The sequence below is a fragment of the Homo sapiens genome, chromosome 9 (assembly GCF_000001405.40).
Source record: "Homo sapiens chromosome 9, GRCh38.p14 Primary Assembly".
Lineage (NCBI taxonomy): Eukaryota > Metazoa > Chordata > Mammalia > Primates > Hominidae > Homo > Homo sapiens.
Window position 1 is genome coordinate 96,970,131 of NC_000009.12, and position 16,373 is coordinate 96,986,503.

The following is a 16,373-nucleotide window of genomic DNA, read 5'->3' on the forward strand; positions in this document are numbered from 1 at the left end:
GGAGAATTGCTTGAACCCAGGAGGCGGAGGATGCAGGGAGCTGAGATCACGCCACTGAACTCTAGCCTGGGTGACAGAGCAAGACTCTGTCGGGGGGGTGGGGTGGGAACTTACCTATAAGGAGAGTCTCAAAAGGAGTAAAGAGACAGTAAAAATATTTGAAGAAATAATGGTCAAAAACTTCCCAAACGTGATGAAAAGCATTAATCTACAGAAACAAGAAGCTCAACAAACCCCAAGTAAAATAAACAAAAAAGACATTCACACCTACACACATTATAGCATAGTCAAACTATCACAGAGTTGGGTTTTTTTGTTTGTTTGTTTGTTTGTTTTTGAGAAAGAGTTTTGCACTCGTTGCCCAGGCTGGAGTGCAATGACACGATCTTGGCTCACTGCAACCTCCATCCCCCAGGTTCAAGCAATTCTCCTGCCTCAGCCTTCCGAGTAGCTGGGATTACAGGCGTGCACCACCATGCCCAGTTAATTTTGTATTTTTAGTACAGACGGGGTTTCACCATGTTGGTCAGGGTGGTCTCGAACTCCCATCCTCAAGCGATCCACCTGCCTCAGCCTCCCAAAGTGCTGGGATTACAGGCGTGAGCCTCCGCGCCCAGCCTAAAGTTTCACTTTTAAAAGATGAAATGAGTTTTAGAGATGGATGGTGGTGACAGATACCCAACATAATGAAATGTATCTAATACTACTGAACTGTATACTTCAAAACAGTGAAAATGGTAAGTTTGTTATGTGTATTTTACCATAATTTTTTTAAATGGGAAAAAAAGTGATTTGGTTTATCTATATTCATATTAAAAATGTGTCCTGAAAAAACACATGTATTTGTTCAAAGAATATATTTATTAAGCACCGACTATATCCCAGGCAGCACTATGCAAACAGTGAGGAAAATTAGAATCTCATGAAACTCAAAATGGGACTAATTATCCTCATTAACTAATAACTAATAACCTACTATAGGTTTCCTACTATGAAGGAAAAACTACTGTAATAAGAAAAAAAGGATTAAGGATGCAGGCAATTTTTAAGTCCCGTGTTCCACCCAAGTTATACTTTTAATGAATAAAACTGTATTTTTTTTTTTTTTTTTGAGATGGAGTTTTGCTTTGGTTGTCCAGGCTGGAATGCAATGGCACGATCTCAGCTCACTGCAACCTCCACCTTCTGGGTTCAAGCAATTCTCCTGCCTCAGAATCCTGAGTAGCTGGGATTACAGGCATGCGCCACCATGCCCAGCTAATTTTGTATTTTTAGTAGAGACAGGGTTTCTCCATGTTGGTCAGGCTGGTCTCGAACTCCCGACCTCAGGTGATCCACCAGCCTTGGCCTCCAAAAGTGCTGGGATTACAGGCGTGAGCCACCGCATCAGGCCTCAAACTGTATTTTAACTGTGCCAGAAGAATTAAAAACTTTAAAAGGTTCACAACAAAGTCTTATGTAAGGCTAACAGGCTAACAGCCACCCTCTAAAGTTCTCTGCTGTCTAAACCTTATTTAAGAACAAAGATTATCCGTACCCAGAGGGATTCTTTAGTAAGGCAAAATGATGATTAGGAAGAGTTAAGCTCCAATTTTTTTTTTTAATTTTTGTTTTTTTAGAGATGGGGTCTTGCTATGTTGCCCAGGCTAGACTTGAACTCCTGAGCTCAAGCAATCCTCCTGCCTCAGCTTACTGAATAGCTGGGCCTAAAGGCATATGCTACTGTACCCCGCCCATCAATAATTTTTAAAGAATAATTAAGACAACTGAAACTTAACTCCAGTTTAAAATATTTTATTAAAATTAAGTGTTAAATAGTTGTAAGCCACCTAAGATCTGCCCCCGCCATCTTTTCTTTGGCATCTCTCTTCCTTCTAACTACATCATAGATGAAACGTACAAGTTCTTGCTAAGATATTCAATACCACCTCTGAAGAAATGGCTATAGATAAGCTACGAAAAACTGAAATTTAGACATTCCTACAATTATTACTCATTGTTACAAAGTACTCACCAATCTGCTATTTACTATGTTCTTAAGTCAAAGACCATTAACATCCTCCTAAAGAAGTTACAGACTTCAACAATGCTCTGCAATTTCCTGTAGGACAGGACCCTATGAGTCCATGGCCTGTTATGAACCCAGCCACACAGAGCAGCAGGCGAGCGAGCATTACCACCTGAGTTCTGCCTCCTGTCAGATCAGCAGCGGCATTAGATTCTCATAGGGGTGCAAACCCTACTCTGAACTGCGCATGTGAGGGGTCTAAGTTGCGCTCATTATGAGAATCTAACTAATAATGCCTGATGGTCTGAGGTGGAACAGTTTCATCCTGAAACCATCCCCCAACCAACCCAATTCTGTGGAAACATTGTCTTCCACGAAACCAGTCCCTAGTGCTAAAAAAGTTTGGGAGTTGCTGCTGTAGAGTATCTTAAAGATCTTCCTAAACATATACAGTTCATTTGTATAACAGCACCCCCAAGTTTACTTCAATAGGAGTGCAGTGCTACCCAGGAATATTTAAAGAGGTGTTTTGTGTTACATGTGGTTCAGAAACCACAATGGAAAAAAAAAAAAAAAAAAAACCAATGAAACAAGCTGTTTTAAATCACTATCAAGAGCTACTCCCAAACACGTATCTAGACATACACAGTGATACATGCCTAAGAACTTATCTCTTTCTCTTACAAAACACAAACCCAGTTCAGCAATACTTACAGTCAACATTGGAGTTGTCAAAAGGCCCCACGCAAAGAATTCAAGGAAGATGACAATAGCAGCATGGTACACACTTGGTGGGCCAAAGCCTTGTAGCTAAAAAAGAAAGTTATTATGAAAATTAGCAAAGAAATATAAGAAATCTATTATCTTAAAATGGTATAGAAAAAAATGTGTAAAAATGTGTAAAAAAATTTAGGGCCTACCTCTGTCATTTAAAATAAAACTTCATTCTGTGTTATCCTTGATGCCTTCACTTTCCCTAATAAGGGAAGATGCTAAGATTATAGACTTTCGCTTGGGCGCGGTGGCTCAAGCTTGTAATCTCAGCACTTTGGGAGGCCAAGGCGGGCAGATCACAAGGTCAGGAGTTCAAGACCAGCATGGTTAACATAGTGAAACCCCACCTCTACTAAAAAATACAAAAATTAGCCAGGCATGGTGGCGGGCTACTTGGTCCCAGCTACTCGGGAGGCTGAGGCAGGAGAATTGCTTGAACCCGGGTGCCGGAGCTTGCAGTGAGCCGAAATCCCGCCACTGCACTCCAACCTGGGCGACATAGCAAGATTCCATCTTGAAAGAAAAAAAGATTATAGACTTTCGATCTATCCCATCGACGCAAATCACTGGAGCTTTAGTAGAAAATCAACTGGATCTTCAAGAAACTAAGTTTCCAAGATCTGACTGCTCTGTCCCTTACGAATTACGTGTTCCTTAGCAACTTAACTTCTCTAGGGCTGAAGTTTCTTTACCGACATAATAAGAGAGATGGGTATGGGCATCACATGCTCAAAGGCCTGAGGGGCAGCTCGGATGACTTTAAATCAGTATGGAATATCTTGAGATATCCCAATTCTAGAGATGTTTAGAAGCAGAGGATGAAAAGTGTGCAATAATGTCTTTGCACGCTCTTATTTATCATCTCTCCCACAGATTACTGCAATGACCTGTTAACCCTGCCTTGACTCGTTTTCCCTGTCCCCTCCAAACTTGTGGTGACATTACACTCAGAGTGAACTTTTTAAAAATACAAATCTTATTCCATCACTCCTGTGGAAAACTGCGAAAACAAGGAACTGCAAAAACAAAGAGCTACAAATTGCTCTCATTCCTGTACACACACATTTTCACAATATGACTTTGCTGCCAATTCCATCAAAAGGTTCAATCTGTTTCTCCATGTCCCTAGATCAAAGCTGGTTTGACAACTTCCTCTAACCAACAGTCAGGTGAAGACAAAACATGGATTTCTGAACCTAGATTGCCAAAGATCAAGACTACCACAAGGAGAAATATCTTCCTGCCACAGGCATATGAGAGGATAAGAAACTCTCCCTATCAAGGCCTCACAGACAAACCAGTTAACAGCCATCACCAACTGTCAGACATAGGAGCCAGGCCATCTTAGACGACCCAATTACAATCAGGCCTGCAGGTCACTGCAGAAGCATGAGACACACCGAGAGAAATCAGTGAAGAACTCTCGCTGAGTTCCACTCAAACCCCTAACCCAAAGAATAGTAATAAATGGTTGTTGTTTTAAGCCATTAAGTATAAGGGTTGTTTCTTAATTAGTTTTTTTTTTTTTTTTTTTTTTTTTTTTGAGATGAAGTCTCGCTTTGTTGCCCAGGCTGGAGTGCAGTGGCGTGATCTCAGCTTACCGCAAAGTGCTGGGATTACAGGTATGAGCCCCCATACCCGGCCCACATTCTTTTTAATAGCTAACTACTCAGTATCTCATTGTATGAATGTGCCATAATTTTAACCAATCGAATATTGATAGGAGTACATGGAATTTTCACTTATTTAAAACTGCTGCAATTAACTTTTTAAATTTTGGAATATTAAACCTACAGAAAAGTTGCAAAAACCAAGAGTTCCTGTATATCCTTCACCCAGCTTCCCCAAATGTTAAAATCTTCTATAACCATGGCATAATTATCTAAACCAGGAAATTAGCATTGCTACAAAACTTTAATCTACATATCTTATTTGAATTTTGCCATTTTTCCCATTTTCTTTTTCTGGTTCAGAATCTAATCAAAGATTTAACACTGCATTTAGTTCTCACATTTCTTTAGGCTCTTCCAATCTAAGTCAGTTCCCAAGACTTTTATTTTTTTACTTTCATGATCTTGATACTTTCAGGGAATACTAGTATACTCTTCACCAATAATTTTATAGAGTGTCCCTCAATTTGAATTAATCTAATATTCTCTCATGATTAGATTGAGGTTATACATTTTATTTTATAAAAATATGTCACATCTCATAAAATTCACCATTTTCAAGTGCACACAAGTCAGCGGTTTTTGGAATATTCACAAGATTATACAACCATCACCACTATCTAACTCCAGAACATGTTTATCACCCCCCAAAAGAAGCCCTACACCTATTAGGAGACATTCTTCATTTCCTTCTCCCCCTACTTCCCCTCAGAACCACTAATCTACTTTCTGTCTCTATGGATTTGCCTATTCTGGGATCATACATAAATAGAATCCATAAATGGAATCACACAACATGTAGCCTTTTGTGTCTAGCTTCTTCCAATCAGCATATTTTCAAGGTTCATCCATGTTGTAGCATGTGTCAGTATTTCATTCAATTTTATAGCTAAATGATATTCCACTGCATCGATATACTGCATTTTGTTTATCCATTCATCAGTTCATAGACACTTGGGTTGTTTCCATCTTTGGCTATTATGAATAATGCTGCTATAAACATTGATGTACAAGTTTTTGTATGAACATGTTTCCAGTTCCCCTGGCTATACACATAAGGGTGAAAATGGTGGGACTATTAATATCCTTTTATTAGCATTCTAGGATAAATTTCTAGAAGTGAAGTTGCAGGGCCAAAGAATATACACATTCTAATTTAGAATCCAATTATAATTTTAAGGTTTCACTAATTAGGAGTCAAAAAAATACTTCATCTTATGTCACCTAATCAACTATCTCTAACATATAAAAGGCTTCTAAAAATGTTAAGAAAAAGACTAACAGCCCAATAAAAAGATTGGCAAGAAATATGAACCAGTTCACTGAAATCAAATGTCCCTTAGTAGCCTCACTTGTATTAAGAAACATGCAAAATTAAGCTAAATTCAAACACAAGTTCTCAGTATCAGACATTAAAAATTCAAAAATTCAAACGTTTGTAAACTATTGATGAAGCAACTGAAAAGAAACACAAACTGCAAATAGGAATGAAAAATGGTACACCACTATGGAAGAAAATTCAGCAACATCTAGACAAATTATATATTTACCCTTTGAAGCAACAATTCTACTTTATCCTTAAACTATGAGGTGCCATATGCACAAAGCTAAAACACTGTAACAGCAAAACTTAACTCTGGGCCAGGGGAAGTGGCTCACACCTATAATCACAGCACTTTGGGAGGCTGAGGCAGGCGGATCACTTGAGGTCAGGAGTTCATGACAAGCCTGGCCATCATGGTGAAACCCCATCTCTACTAAAAATACAAAAATTAGCAAGGCTTGGTGGTGGGTGCCTGTAATCCCAGCTACTAGGGAGGCTGAGGTAGGAGAATGGCTTGAACCTGGGAGGAGGAGGTTGCAGTGAGCCAAGATCACGCCATTGCACTCCAGCCTGGGCAACAAGCACGAAACTCTGTCTCAAAAAAAAAAAAACATCGGCTAACGAATGAAGAAAGGAATAATTAACTTAGAATCCTGCCACTTCACAGCCTTACTGAAATAGTGAATCTAGGCCATGACCATTAACGGCCACTGAAATCACTGGGTAAAAGCTGACAAGGTACAAGGGAATAATCAAACTGATAACACCTGAAACCTGATCAATCATAACATCACAGACAGAGATCATTTGCCACATGATGTAATACAACAAAAAAATACCACCACTTAAGAAGTATTCTTTGAAAAAACAAAGTGAAACAAAAAACCTGGATTCAATGCAGTCAAGACATAAACCAGTATACAGAAAATGCAGGTAAAACAAGATTGGCCTTGTTGCAGTAGGGTGATGAATATGGGGAGGTATTCCTAATAATATGTAAAGGTAACCACAAAAAAAGCTTTAAACAGATTGCTAAAAAGAAAAGAACTTACAGTCTCATTAACAATTTAAAAAAAGAACAACTTACAGTCTCCTTAACAATTCTGGAGGATACCTGTCCTGCCATATCCTAAGACTGCATAATAATTTTTTAATTTTTTGCCAGGTGCGGTGGCTCATGCCTGTAATCCCAGCACTTTGGGAGGCCGAGGCAGGCATTTCAGGACCAGCCTGGCCAACATGGCAAAACCCCATCTCTACTAAAAATACAAAAATTAGCCAGGCGTGACGGCAAGTGCCTGTAATCCTAGCTGCTCAGGAGGCTGAGGCAGGAGAACCACTGGAACCCAGGAGGCGGAGGCTGCAGTGAGCCAAGATCACACCACTGCACTCCAGCCTGGGGGACAGAGTGAGACTCCATCTCAAATAATAATAATTTTAAAATTTTTGCTAATTTGATTTTTTTAATGGTTATCTAATTTTATTTTGTATTTCCCTTACTCCCAATGAAGCTGAGCTTCTTTCCCATGATTAGGAATTTGCATTTCTTTTTCTGTGAACTGCCTATTCATCTTCTGTCAATTTTTTATTGGTGACTTTAATCTTTCATATTGATTTATAGGACCCCTTTAGAATCAATATTAAAAACATTTATACAATGCAACATCAAATTATCATTCTCAGCCAGGAGCGGTGGTGTGCACCTGTAGTCCCAGCTATTTGGAAGGATCACCTGAGCCTAGGAGTTCAAGTCCAGCCTGGGCAACACAGCAAGAACCCCATCTCTTAGGGGGGAAAAAAAATAGGCCCAGTGCAGTAGCTCATGCCAGTAATCCTGGCACTCTGTGAGGCTCAGGCGGCAGGTGGGAGATTTACTTGAGGCTAGGAGTTCAAGACCAGTATAGACAACACAGTGAGACTCGATCTCTCCAAAAAATTTAAAAATTAACCAGGCATGGTGACATGTGTCTGTAGTACCACCTCCTCAGGAGACTGAGGCAGGAAGATCGCTGGAGCGCAGGAGTTTAAGGCTACAATGAGCTATGACTGCACCACTGCACTCTAGCCTGGGCCACAAAGTGAGACTCCAGTCTCGTTTAGGAAAAAAAAAAAAGCCATCGTCCTCACCTACCGGCATCAATACTCTCTAAAAATAAAAGGCACAAATACACAAATCAACAATAGCTGGAGACTTCAATACCCATTTTCAGTAACTGATAGAACAATTAGAAGATCAGCAAGAAATAGAAGACTTCAGTAACACTGTACACTAACTAAACCTAACAGACATTTATTGAACACTCTTCCCAACAAGATATAAATCCTCAAGTGCACATGAGAAGACTGTAAAACAAGTTTGAATAAATTTAAAAGGAGTTAATTTATACAAACTATGTTCTTGACCACACAGAATGAAATTAGATATCATTAACTTAAGAAAATTTGGAAAATTCATGAATATTAAAATATTTAAACATACTCCTAAATAACAGATAAAAGAAATCACAAGGAAAGTTACAAAACTTTCATTTGAACAAAAATGAAAATGTAACACCCCAGTTGAATGCAGCTTAAAGCAGCGCTTAACAGAAAGTGTACAGCTATAGATGTGTGGTTATAAAAGATCTCAAATCAATAATTTAACTTTCCACCGTAAGAAACTAGAAGAGAGCAAACTAAACTCAAAGCAAGGAAAGAAAGATCAGAGCAGATACAAACGTGATACAGAATAGAAAAGCAATGCAGAAAAATCAACAAAATCAGGCCGGGTGCAGTGTGAGCCTAGCACTTTGGGGGGTCAAGGCGGGCAGAACACTTGAACCCAGGAGTTAAGACCAGCTTGGGCAACATGGTGAAACCCTGTCTCTACTAAAAATACAAAAAAGAAAAAGTTTACCCAAGCATGGTGGCACATACACCTATAGTCCCAGCTATTTGGGAGGCTGCAGTGGGAGAATCGCCTGAGTCCAGGAAGTTGAGGGTGCAATGAGCCATCATCATACCACTGTACTCCAGTCTGGGAGAAGGGAGTGAAACCTTGCCTTAAAAAACAAAAGGAGGCCGGGCGCAGTGGCCTGTAATCCCAGCACTTTGGGAGGCTGAGGCAGGTGGATCACGAGGTCAGGAGGTCGAGACCATCCTGGCTAACAGGGTAAAACCCCATCTCTACTAAAAATTAAAAATAAAAAAAATTAGCCAGGCGTGGTGGCGGATGCCTGTAGTCCCAGCTACTTGGGAGGCTGAGGCAGGAGAATCGCTTGAACCCAGGAGGCAGGGGAGCTTGCAGTGAGCAGAGATCGTGCCACTGCAATCCAGCCTGGGTGACAGAGCGAGACTCCGTCTCAAAAAACAAAAAACAAAAAAAAAAAACAGAAAAAGGAAAGGGAAGAGAAAATCAACAAAACCAAAATTGATTTAATGAAAATATCAAACTAATGGACAAACCAAGAAAACAGAAGACCTGAATTACTAATACCAGAAATGAAACAGAAGATAATAATGGTCAACCTTACAGAAACAGGATTATAAGGGAGTCTCATAGACAATTAGCCAACAAACTGGATAAATGAAACAAAATGGACAAACTCCTAGAAACACATAACCTACTAAAAATGAATCATGAAGAAACAGAAAATATAAATAGACCTATAACTAGTAAGGAGACTGAATCAGTAATCAAAAACCTCCCAGAATTCCAGCAGAGTTAAAGAATTAAACCTCTTCCCAAGACATGAAGAGGAGAGAGCACTTTCTAACTCACTCTCTGAAGCCAGCATTACAGTAGTTGCCCCCTTATCCAAGGGGGATACATTCCAAGATCCCTAGTGGATGCCTCGAAAAGTACCAAACCCTATACAGCTGTTCCTCGACTTACAAAGGGGTTACGTCTCAATAAACCGACTGTAAGTTGAAAATATACTAACTTGAAAGTCGCTTTAGACTTATGATATATTCAACCTACGATGGGCTTATCCAGACAACCCAATCGTAAGTAGAGGTGCATACTCAATGCATATTGCTTTTGCATGAAGGTAAAGTTGAAAAATCTGAAGTCCAACCATCAAATTTGGGACCATCTGTATATACTGTTTTTTCCTACACACACCTATGATTGAGTTTAATTTTTAATTAGGCACAGTCCTCTTGTGCTTTTGGTCATTATTAAATAAAATAAGGGCTACTTGAACACAAGCACTGTGATACTGCAGTCCATCCGATAACTGATGGCTGACTGACTAACAGATGGGCAGCATATAGAGTGTAAATGCTGGACGAAGGAATGGAGCAAGATGGCAAAATATTTCATCACACTACTCAGAATGTGACGTGTAACTTAAAACTTACGAATTTTTATTTCTGGAATTTTCCATTTAGGATTATCAAACCTCAGCCCACTTCGGGTAACTGAAACCATGGAAAGCAAAACCACAGAGAGCAAAATCACAGATCAGGGAGTACTGCCATACTCTAAAAAAGCCAGACAAAGACACTACAAGAAAACTATAGAGCCAGGCACAGTGGCTCATGCCTGTAATCCCAGCACTTTGGGAGGCCGAGGCGGGTGGATCACAAGGTCAAGAGTTCGACACCAGCCTGGCCAACATAGTGAAACCACGCCTCTTCCAAGAATACAAAAATTAGCTGGGTGTGGTAGTGCGTGCCTGTAATCTCAGCTACTCAGGTGATGGAGGCCAGAAAATTGCTTGAATCTGGGAGGCGGAGGTTGCAGTGAGCTGAGATCATGCCACTGCACTCTAGCCTGGGTGACAGAGCAAGACTCCATCTCAAAAAAAAAAAAAAAAGAAAACTACAGACCAATTTTCCTTATGCACATTGATGCAAAAATCCTTAACAAAATATTGGCAAACCAAATTCAACAGTTTATTAAGCAGTTTATTATGGTTATACACCATAACCAAGGACTTATTCTAAGAATGTAATAACAGTTCACCTATGAAAACCAATCAATGTAATACAACACATTAAAATAAAGAGGAAAAACCCACATAATCATCTTAATTGATGCAGTAAAAGCATCTGACAAAATTCAACACACTTTCATAATAAAAACACTTAGAAAGCTAAGAAAAGAATAAAATTATCTCAAATAATAAAGGCCAAATATGAAAAACCCATACTTCACATCATATTCAATGGGGAAAGGCTGGAAAAAGGCTGGAAACTTTTCCTCTAAGATCAGAAACAAGACAAAGATGCATACTTTCCCCACTTCTATTCAGTATAATACAATACTGGAAATTCTAGCCAGAGTAATACGGCAAGAAAAAGAAAGAAAAGGCATCCAAACTGGAAATGAAGAAGTAAAATTATCTCTGTTCGCTGATGACAAGATCTCATAAGACCCTAAAAATTCCACACACAAAAAACCTGTTACAACTAATAAATGAATTTAACAAAGTTACAAGATACAAAATCAACATTAAAAATCAGCTGCATTTCTATACACTAAAGATTAACAATGTTAAAATGAAACTTAAAAAATTCAAATTGGGCTGAGTGCAGTGGCTCACACCTGTAATCCTAATGTTTTGGGAGGCCAAGGCAGGAAGACAGCATGAGCTCAGGAATTTGAGGCCCTCCCAGGCGACATAGTGAGACTTTGTCTCTACTAATAATCAAAAAACGGCTGGGCGCAGTGGCTCACTCCTGTAATCCCAGCATTTTGGGAAGCCGAGGCAGGCAGATCATGTGAGGTTGGGAGTTTGAGGTCAGCCTGACCAACATGGTGAAAACCTGTCTCTACTAACAATACAAAATTAGCTGGGTGTGGTGGTGCCTGCCTGTAATCCCAGCTACATGGGAGTCTGAGGCAGAAGAATCGCTTGAACCCAGGAGGTGGGGGTTGTGGTGAGCCGAGATTGTGCCACTGCACTCCAGCCTGCAACGACAGTGAAACTGTGTTTCAAAAAATAATAATAATCAAAAAACTTAGCCAGACGTGCTGGCGCACACCTGTGGTCCCATCTACTCAGGAGGCTGAGGTGGGAGGATCACTTGAAACTGGGAGTTCAAGTTTGCAGTGAGCTATGATCACCCCACTACACTCCAGCCTGGGCAAGAGTGACACCCAGCCTCAAAAAAAAAAAAAAAAAAAATTCAAGTTGCAATAGCATCATAAAGAATAAGATACTTAGGAATAAATTTAACCAAGAAGGTGAATGACCTCTATGCTTAAAACTGTAAGACACTGCTGAAAGAAATTAAAGAAGGTATAAATAAACATAAAGACATCCCATGTTCATGGATTTAAAGATTTAATATAGTTAAGGTATCACTGTTACCAAAAGTGATCTGCAGATTCAATGCCAGTCCTATCAAAATCCCAATGATGCTTTTTGCAAGAAGAGAAAACTCCATCCTAAAATTTATATAGAATCTTAAGGGACCCCCAATAGCCAAAACAATCTTGAAAAAGAAAAAAAATTATCTCACACTTTCTGAATTCAGAACTTACTATAAACATATGGCAATCAAAACAGTGTGGTTCTGGCATAAAAACAGACATGTAGACCAACAGAATAAAAAGCCCAAGTGGGCATGGTGGTGTGTGCCTGTATTTCTACCCACTGAGGAAGCTTAGACAGGAGAATCACTTGAGCCCAGGAGTTCAAGTCCAGTCTGGGCAACATGGCAAAGCCCAGTCTTTTTTTTTTTTTTTTTTTTTGAGACGGAGTCTCGCTCTGTCGCCCAGGCTGGAGTGCAGTGGCGTGATTTCCGCTCACTGCAAGCGTGGTCCACCTCCCGGGTTCATGCCATTCTCCTGCCTCAGCCTCCCGAGTATCTGGGACTACAGACGCCCGCCACCATGCCCGGCTAATTTTTTGTATTTTTAGTAGAGACGGGGTTTCACCATGTTAGCCAGGATAGTCTCGATCTCCTGACCTCGTGATCTGCCCGCCTCAGCCTTCCAAAGTCCTGGGATTACAGGCATGAGCCACTGCGCCCGGCCTAGTCTTTTAAAAAAATAAATTAAAAGCCTGGAAATAAAAAGCCCAGAAGTAAATACATATATGTCACAAATGATAATGCAACAAGGGTACCAAGGCCATTTAATAAGAAAGGAAGGACAGTCTTTCAGCAAATGGTGATGGAAAAACTGGATATCCACATTAAAAAGAACGAAGTTGGATCGCTACCCTAAACCATATATAAAAGTTAATTCAAAATGGACCAAAAATCTAAACATAAAAGCAAAACCTATGAAACCCTTAGAAGAAAACATGGAGGAAGGCTTCCTGGTATTGGATTTGACAATGACTTCTTGGATATGGCACCAAAAGAACAGCCAACAAAAGAAAAAATACATAAAAATCAAACTTCATCAAAATGAAAAACCTTCATATATCAAAGGATACTATCAAGACAGTGAAAAGGCAATCTACAGAATGGCACAAAATGCATGCAAATCACATATCTGATAAGAGATTAATACCTAGAATATATAATAAACTTTTTCAACTCACAGACAAAATAACAACTCAATTAAAAACAGGCAAGGAAACTGAATAGACCTCTCTAAAAGAGATACACAAATGGCCAAGAAGCACATGAAAAGATACACATAGGCCGGGCGCGGTGGCTCATGTATGTATGTAACCCCAGCACTTTGGGAGGCTGAGGCAGACAGATCACTTGAGATCAGGAATTTGAAACCACCCTGGCCAACATGGTGAAACCCTGTCTCTAGTAAAAATACAAAAATTAGCCAGGCATGGTGGCGCATGCCTGTGTTCCTAGCTACTCTGGGGGCTGAAGCAGGAGAACTGCTTGAATCCGGGAGGCGGAGTTTGCAGTGAGCCAAGATTGCACCACTGCACTCCTGCCTAAGAGACAGACCAAAAATCTGTCCCCCAAAAAAACAAAAAAGAGAAAGAAAAAAGAAAAGATACACATCACTTATCATTAGGGAAATGCAAATCAAAACCATGAGGTATCACCATATACTCATTAGGATGGCTACTGTCTTAATCTGTTTTGTGCTGCTGTAACAGGATACTTGAGACTGGGTAGTTTATAAATAACAGACATTTATTTTCCCACAGTTTTGGACGCAGGGAAGTCCAAAACAAGGTATTAGCATCTGGGGTGGACAGTCTTACAGCATCCTCACAAAGCAGAAGGTGGAAGGGCAAAAGCGGGTGAGCCCTCTCCCACAAGCCTTTTTAATAGCAGCATTAATCCATTGATAATGGTGTAGCCCTCATGACATAAACCCTTCCCAAAAGGCGCCACCTCCCAATTACTCCTGCACTGGGAATTAAGTTCCCAACACATGAATTTTGGGAGACACATTCAGACTACAGTAGCTGTGATTTTTTTCTTAAATAAGAAATTAAGTGCTGGCAAGGACATGAAGAAATTAGAAGCCTTGCACACTGTTGGTAGGAATGTAAAATGGTGCAGCCCCTATGGAAAACGGTTTGGCAGGTACTCAAAAAATTAAAAATAGAATTACTCCATGACCCAGCAATTCCACTTTTGGCTATCTATTCAAAAGAAACAACAGCAGGGACTTGAACAGATTTTTATATACCCAAATTCACAGAATTCTCTCACAACAGCCAAACCGTAGAAGCAACCCAAGTGTTCAACTTATGAATGTTTAAACAAAATATGGTACATGTATACAATGGAATATCATTCAACCTTAAAAAAAAAAAGGAGACTGACTGTCACAACATGGATGAACATTAAGGACGTTGTAGTAAGTGAAATAAGCCAGTCACGGCTGGTAACGGTGGCTCATGCCTGTAATCCCAGCACTTTGGGAGGCCGAGGTGGGTGGATCACCTTAGGTCAGGAGTTTGAGACCAGCGTGGCCAACATGGTGCAAACCCGTCTCTACTAAAATACAAAAAAATTAGCCAGGCGTGGTGGCGGGTGCCTGTAATCCCAGCTACTTGGGAGGCTGAGTCAAGAGAATCACTTGAACCCGGCAGGCGGAGGTTGCAGTGAGCCGAGATCGCGCCACTGCACTCCAGCCTGGGCAACAAGAGTGAAATGGAAATGGAAAGGAAAAGAAAGGAGCCAGTCACAAAAAATCAAATATGGCATAATTTCACTTATATGAGGTACCCACAGTAATTAAATTCATAGACAGTAAGTAGAATAGTGACTACCAGGGGCTAGGGAGTTATTGCTTAATGGGCACAGAGTTCAGTTTGGGATGATGAAAAAATTCTAGAGACAGACAGTGGTAATGAGTACACAACAATGTGAATGTACTTAATGCTATTGAACTGAAACTTTAAAAACTATGTTATGCATATAAACTAAAATAAAAATAAGTAACTCAAACTACATCATGCATTAAAAATAAAATGCAAAACTATTAGCTTCTAGAGGATTATTAGGAGAAAATATAAGTGAACTTGGTCACATGGTTTCAAGATGAGTCTGTAGGTACAAGACTAAAGTCATGCCACATGCAAGAAAAAGTTGATATATTGGACTTCACTAAAATTAAAAACCTCTGCTCTGCAAAAGACACTGGTAAGTGAATGAAAAGATAAGCCACAGATTGGAAGAAAGTATCTGCAACAATCTTATCTGATAAAGAACTTAAGAACATAGAAAGCGCCCTTACAAGTCACTAATACAACAAACCAATTAAAAAATGGGCAAATGATCTGAGAAAAGGGAGAGATGGAGAGTGACATTAATGGATAGATATAGGGACTCTTTTTGGGGAGATGAAAATGTTCTAGAATTAGATAGTGATAGTTCTACAACACCGTGAATATATATTAAAAAACCAAACTGTATACTTTTAAAATGATGAACTGTATGGTACGTGAATGTATCTCAATTTTTAAAATGCAATAGAGAGAAAAGAGAGCAGAGATTCTTTTTCTGCCTCTGGAATACTTTAACTGTATGTGAAGCCTAGAACTGTCAGAGGCATGTGAACCAGAGCGACTCCATCTTGAATAGGAGCTGGGTAAATGAGACTGAAACCTACTGGGCTGTATTCCCAGACAGTTAAGGAATTCTAACTCAAAGGATGAAGATAGGGAGGACAAGATACAGGTCATAAAGACCTTGCTGATAAAGCAGGTTACAGTAAAGAAGCTGGCTAAAACCCACCAAAAACAAGACAGAAATGAGAGTGATCTCTGGTCATCGTCACTGCTATACTCCCACCAGTGCCATGACAGTTTACAAATGTCATGGCAACGTCAGGAAGTTACCCTATAGGTCTAAAAAGGGGAGGCATGAATAATCCACCCCTTGTTTAGCATATAATCAAGAAATAGCCATAAAAATGGGCACCAGCAGCCCTCGGGGCTGCTCTGTCTATGGAGTAGCCATTCTTTTGTTCCTCTACTTTCCTAATAAACTTGCTTTCACTTTAGGGACTTGCCCTGAATTCTTTCTTGTTCGAGGTCTATCCAGGAATCCTCTCTTGGAGTCTGGATTGGGACCCCTTTCCTGTAACTGAACTATGGCAGCCATCTTGAGACCATGAGAGCCAGACAAATCAACACACCGAAGATGGAAAGAACCTGGTCCTTGACGCAAAATCAAGGACCAATCCTGGAACTGTCTTTCCATCAGATTTCTTGTTAAATGAGGT

At 39.9% G+C, this 16,373-nt stretch overlaps 1 pseudogene across 3 annotated transcripts in view, besides 1 other annotated feature; it reads right to left on the reverse strand.

The window, feature by feature from the left end:
- SLC71A3P (solute carrier family 71 member 3, pseudogene) overlaps positions 1–16,373 on the reverse strand; it is a 70,693-nt pseudogene that overhangs the window by 27,218 nt on the left and 27,102 nt on the right. For all 3 annotated transcript variants that reach the window (NR_172875.1, NR_172876.1, NR_172874.1), the window contains exon 2: positions 2,723–2,818. The product of NR_172875.1 is annotated as a solute carrier family 71 member 3, pseudogene, transcript variant 2 (transcript). The remainder of the gene's footprint in view (positions 1–2,722; positions 2,819–16,373) is intronic.
- Positions 7,048–7,256: a silencer, noted in NCBI's record as "fragment chr9:99739460-99739668 (GRCh37/hg19 assembly coordinates)". NCBI's record gives its function as "represses an EF-1alpha promoter that drives an FKBP-Casp9 reporter gene in an ReSE screen in K562 erythroleukemia cells {active_cell/tissue: K562}" and the evidence as "EXISTENCE:reporter gene assay evidence [ECO:0000049][PMID:32094911]".